The sequence below is a fragment of the Homo sapiens genome, chromosome 8 (genome assembly GCF_000001405.40).
Source record: "Homo sapiens chromosome 8, GRCh38.p14 Primary Assembly".
NCBI classification, from domain to species: domain Eukaryota; kingdom Metazoa; phylum Chordata; class Mammalia; order Primates; family Hominidae; genus Homo; species Homo sapiens.
Window position 1 is genome coordinate 121,819,671 of NC_000008.11, and position 6,261 is coordinate 121,825,931.

A 6,261-nucleotide genomic window follows, 5' to 3' on the forward strand; every position below is an offset into this window, starting at 1 on the left:
TCCCTTTTCCACTCTGCTAATGTCCCGGCTCATATTCTTTCAAATGAAGTCCAGCAGATGGAGAACTTCTTTATTCTCTATACTTTTAAGAATAGAGAATTAAAATTTATTGGCTCTAATTAGCCAAATGTAAGTCAAATGCTCACACATTGAGTTCAGAAAACGGTCAGCTTTATCCTAATCCTATAGACTAAGAGTAGAGACTACATTTTTTTCCCAAGGAAAATCAAGATTCTATTATCGGAAATAAGAGAAATGGTCAATGCATAGGAAAGTGATAATAGTTGTCACCACACAGAGGACACAGAGACGTGTTTTGGGATATTTATTCCACTCGCGAGAAGATCTAAGACATTTTTGATAATCACATCTCCAAGAAGGCTGATGAAAGGAGGAGGCTGCTACTTTGGGTTTAAGTATCAGTCTCTGGTGATCAAAGAATTGTGATCATTTCCCTTTGGGAAATATATCATATCCAGTTATTTGTTATTTCTCTAGTACCCACTGTTTCAGGGATTGTCCACGGCTCCTAAGATTAAGGCGAGGATAGAGTCAGATATACAGTAGATCCCAGATTATTAGATTTTAAATTCTTCAGAGAAAAATGAAGAAGAGAATAACTCTAGGGAAAAGCATGCCTCCAGAGGAATGGGAAGTAGCTAAGAAAATATGTTTCACTGGCCAGGAGCAGTGGCTAATGCCTGTAATCCCAGCGCTTTGGGAGGCCGAGGCGGGTGGATCACCTGAGGTCGGGAGTTTGAGACCAGCCTGACCAACATGGAGAAACCCCATCTCTACTAAAAATACAAATAAAATTAGCTCGGCGTGGTGGCACGCACCTGTAATCCCAGGTACTCGGAAGGCTGAGGCAGGAGAATCGCTTGAACCCGGGAGGCTGAGGTTGCAGTGAGCTGAGATCGTGCCATTGCACTCCAGCCTGGGCAATAAGAGTGAAACTATGTCTCAAAAAAAAAAAAAAAAAAAAAAAGGTTTCAGACTATCCAGTCCAAACAAGTTTAGTAATAATCAGCAAGTTGATGACGTCAGAATTAATTTAAGAGAACTATGGGAAAAATGGAATGTATCTATCCTTAAGTGATTCAGCTGGGCACATATTCTCAGAGTTAGAGTCTCAGATGTCCACCACCCGTCTTTAACTCAGCTATCTTCAAACTTAGGTATCAATTATGACTAAAACAAGTATATTGTCTACATTAATGTCAATATTGGAAGTTGTGAGCCCTAGAAACAAAATCAAGTGCATTCCTGTTACCCCTTATTTTTGCCATTCAGATGCAAACTCCAAGCATCAGTGGACATGAGCCTATGGATCACCCTAATTTGAGAATCACATTGGCCTAAACCATAACCCCGAGTATCTGCCTAATTTTCCTCCACTCATTTTCTGGCTTTGTCTCTTTGTTTAGAGGAAAACCATGCTCTAAATACTAGCTGTTCTCTGGATTCTTAGCATCCAGATTTAATTTTGCCTCCTTAATCCACGATTTAAAAAAGGAATTAGATGCATAGAACTCCAAACTTAATATGTATGGTAGATAGAATAATGTCTATCCACCAAACAAACACAAAAATATGTCTATGCCTCAGTCTCTAGAAACTGTCAGTATCTTACATTACATGGCAAAGGGGAATTTGCAGATGTAATTAAGGTTATGAACCTTAACAGAGGGAGGTTATCCTGGCTTATCCAAGTGGCCCAATCTAATCATATGAACTTTAAGAGCAGAGAAATTTCTCTGAGTCAGAAAGGCAGCAGAAGACAAAGGCAAAAGAGATGTAACAGAAGAGGAAGCTGGAGAGATTTTAAGTGTGAGACGGATTAGAGGCACCGTTGCTGGCTGTGAGATGCCCACCTACAAGGACTGAGGATAAACCTCTAGGAGATAAGATGCTCTCCAGCTAACAGCACACATGGAAATGATGAGTTTAACCCTACAACTGCAAGGAACTGGATTCTGCCTGAATAAGCTTAGAAGCAGATTCTTCCCAGATCTCCCCTGTACTGAGAAGGATTAATTGATTAGGATCTCACTAATAGGGGTTGGGCAGACTGACACCTTGATTTTAGTCTTGTGAAACCTAGAAGAGAGAAACCATAGAACAAATCTGGATTTATGATCTAAAGAACTGTGAAATAAATTTGTATTGTTTTAAGCACAAATCAGTGGATTGTTTAAAATAGCAGCAGTAGGAAACTAATACAGTATGTTTCCAGACAAGGAAGGAAAGTATGAATTAGAAGGAGAGGAAATCATGGCAACTAAAAGAATTGATAGATTTAAAAATGGGAGAGTTTTCTACTGATGCTTAGTATGGTTCTGATTTTAGTCCAGTGTTGCTATAAAAAAATGAGTAATTGTCCATTAACTGGACAACATTCGGCATAAAATCTTTCTTTCTTAAAGGGCTCAAGTCAGTATCTGCATTATAGGCATAGTCTGTGGTGAGATAAAGAAATAGTGAAAAGAGGTAAGAAATGAAAAATATAAAAGCAGGCACATGAGTCCTCTTCAATCCTGCTACCATATGTCTAGTCCTAGAGTAAGAAATAGATCTTTTATGATTTGAAGACAAGTCTCTGTTTTTGGAAACCTCACTTTTATGTCAAAGCCCTCAGATCTGTTGGAAAAAATTAAAAATAAGAATGGCTATATATTCCAGAGAAATAAAGCCATTGACAGACTTTTAAAATTCTTTATTGTTTTGGATCCAAAAAAAGGGACCTCTATGATATATTATGTATCGTTACAATATGGTGCATGGCTTCATCATCTGTACTGAGAAAGATTAATTGAATAGGGTCACACTAATTTACAAGCAATTGTACTATGGGATGAACATGAAACAGGGCTGCCAAGAAAAGTTTTGTCACTTGCACTAGACATTTTTATCTGCAAAGGATGTTTATATCCACCTTGGGTTATTTCCAAGATTTTACTTTGGGTATCACTTTTGGATCTAGGCCTTCACTTAGAGAACTCCTTCCTCCTTAAAAAAGCAAGTGAAGTTCTTGCAACATAGATAAGAAAATCACCAGTGCTACTTCATGTGTTTTTAATGATGCCCTAAAATCACCAGGCAACCACCAACCCGGGACCCGGAAATGAAGAAAGTACGCTATGTCTCAGAGAAATATAAATTTCTAGGAAATAACAACCGAAATGTGTTCATATCTTGAAACTCAGGAAACCTCAGCTACTGAGTTCCAAAGATTTCTCAGATATGTAAATAATACCAAAGGAGATGGGAAATTCCAGTTGTCTTTTATAGTATTCTTGATTTGATGGGGATTTCCTCAAGAGGTTATGACTGTCAAGGAGTGCAGACAGACTTTTTTCTTCTAAGACTGATGACAGCTCCTTTTCCTCACAGACAAAACGTCGAGAAGCTTCTCAAGTTATGACCAATGTTGACAAAAAGAGTCAAATCTGTAACATATTTTTAGAAATTTATTCTGAGCCAGATATGAGTGCCAAGGTGGTCGGGGTACAGCTTGATTTTATATATTTCAGGGAGGCATGAGATGTCAATCAAATACATTTAAGAAATAGGGGAGCAGGGGCTTCCAGGTTATAGGTAAATTTAAACATTTTCTGGTTAGCAGTTGGTTGAGTTTGTCTAAAGACCTGGGATGACAGAAAGGAAATGTTCAGGTTAAGATAAATGATTGTGGAGACCAAGGTTCTTTTGAAGTCTTATAGTGGCTGCCCTTGGAGACAATAGATGACAAATATTTCCTATTCAGATCTTTGAAAGGTGCTAGACTTTTAGTTAATCTCTTCAGGATAGGGCGGGCCTGGAAGAAAAAGATCTAGCTATGTTAATAGAGATTCTTTACAGATGCAGATTGTCCCCCACAAAGGATGGCTTTGCAGGCCCATTTCAAGATGTGGCAGAGAAAAATGTTTTGGGGTAAAATATTCTGATTTTCTTCCTTGTTATGCCAGAGTCAGATTGGAAAGTAAGTCCCAATATACAGGGTTAAATAAAACCCATCAGATGAGAATTTATGGTTTGTAGGGCATGACTCTCCAAACCCCTTAGATAGGAATTTGGCCAAGATATAAAAAATCAGAGCTTAGTCCTCACCAAGTATCGAATGCTTTGGAAACGTCTGTTCCCTATCATTCGCTTCCTCTTTGGAGCACATTTTACCCACCATTCCCTTCATTCCAATTGATTTTATATATATATATATATATATATATATATATATATATATATATATATATGTATTTTTTTTTTTTTTTTTTTTTTTTTGGGACGGAGTCTTGCTCAGCTACCCAGGCTGGAGTGCAGTGGTGCGATCTTGGCTCACTGCAACCACCGTCTCCTGGGTTCAAGTGATTCTCCTGTCTCAGCCTCCCCAGTAGCTGGGATTACAGGCACCCACCATCATGCCCGGCTAATTTTTGTAGTTTAGTAGAGACAAGGTTTCACTGTGTTGGCCAGGCTGGTCTTGAACTCCTGACCTCAGGTGATCCACCTGCCTCAGTCTCCCAAAGTGCTAGGGTTACAGGTGTGAGCCACCGCACCCGGCCAAATTGATGATTATATTTTAATGAAGGTTCCATAACATATTTGAGTCCCCACTCAAAACTGAAAAGAACCATAACATAAAGGAAGACAAATGGGGGAAAAAACAACCCAAAACTCTCATACCTCTCAGATCAATGCCCTTATTTGACTTATCGTCATACTTTATATAAACTGTAGGAAGTTATATTCTTCCTTCTTTTCTTCTATTCTTATTTCTTCTTTCCTTCTATTCTTATTTCTTTCATTTATTTATTTATTCATTCATTCAGACAGTCATCAGTCATGCAAAGAACTAGATGTAATGTCCAGCCAAGGGAACAAACAGAAAGAACAAAGTTCTAAGACAGGAAAAGTTTTAGTAGGCTTTAAACATCCAGCAAAAGACCAGTTGGCCCTCACAATACCAAACATACAGAGTTTTTCAAATATCCAAATGCCCTAAAAATACTATGACATTTAAATATATATATATATTTCTGTGAATTTAAATACAGTTTTTATAGTTATCTCTCACTGACTATCACTTCCCCTTGAAATTGTAGTTGGTACCATTTTGTACACATTCAAAATGCTAGATCTGGAGTTACGCATTTTAGCTATGTAATGAAACTTTTCCCAAAAAAAGAAAACTAAGGTACACAAGAGAGCTGTGGACTTTTCTGCTATCATCCACTCAGTTGCTCAAGGCAATAGTCTAGGAATCATAGTGGAATCCTTCTTTGTTTTCGATACCTACACCAACGCTGGTCCCATTCTGTTAAGCTCTGTTCACTTATCTCCATTTTCTCTAGTACAAACTATTATTAGCTCTCAGTTCACCTGCTGCAATAGCCACTCTTGTCTTCCTGCAAACATTCTCCACCCAGCAGCCTTAGAATAATCTTTAAAAAATTGTCCAGCAAATTTTATTTTTAAAACCTGTCAACAGCTTTTCCTTAAATTCAAACTCCTGGACCCTACAGGATCTGTTTCCTACCTCCCTCCCTGATTTCATCTACTGATATTCACACTCTTGCTTACCATGTTTTAGCCACACAATTCTTTTTGTTCCTTGATACAGAACATCTGATTCTTGACTTGGGGAAGATTATTTCCCTTTCTTAAAATGATTTCTGCTCCCAGATTCGTCCTTGGTTGGCTACTTGTCATTTACTCGCTAATTAGATCTTTCCTGGCCAACCAATCTAATTAACATCCCTCCGCCACAACTCCAGTCATTTTCTCCATCAGCTCTTTTTAAATACAATTTATTAAAATATTGTTAATCATATGTGTTTCATGTTTATTTTCTCTCTCCTTGTACTTGAATATAAACTCCATAAAGGCAGAGACCTTATTTATCTTGTTCTCCAGTTAATCTCCATCACTGTGAATAGTGCTTCACATATAGTGGGCACTCAATTAATGTTTATTCAATTAATTTGTTCAAGATTATACAACATCACAATTCAGAAGCAACATCTAACACTCAGCAGCGTGAGTACTCATTCCACTGGGCCATAGTTAGAAACACTAATGGCTTGCCATCTTGAAGATATATGGTATACCTTTTGTGTAAGTAAGATCAATCTTCCTCATTTTAGCACTTCCTAGAACTTACAGTAAAAAAAGAGAAATATTAGATGACCAATTGACATATTTTGATTGACCTAAACAATGGTTCATTCAAATATGCAAATATCCAGGTATACCATATCTTAG

At 37.7% G+C, this 6,261-nt stretch overlaps 1 annotated feature.

Annotated features, from left to right (window-relative positions):
• Positions 3,486-4,212: an enhancer, noted in NCBI's record as "OCT4-NANOG-H3K27ac hESC enhancer chr8:122835396-122836122 (GRCh37/hg19 assembly coordinates)". NCBI's record gives its function as "activates a minimal SCP1, AML or CMV promoter by ChIP-STARR-seq in naive H9 embryonic stem cells {active_cell/tissue: H9 hESC(naive)}" and the evidence as "EXISTENCE:reporter gene assay evidence [ECO:0000049][PMID:30033119]".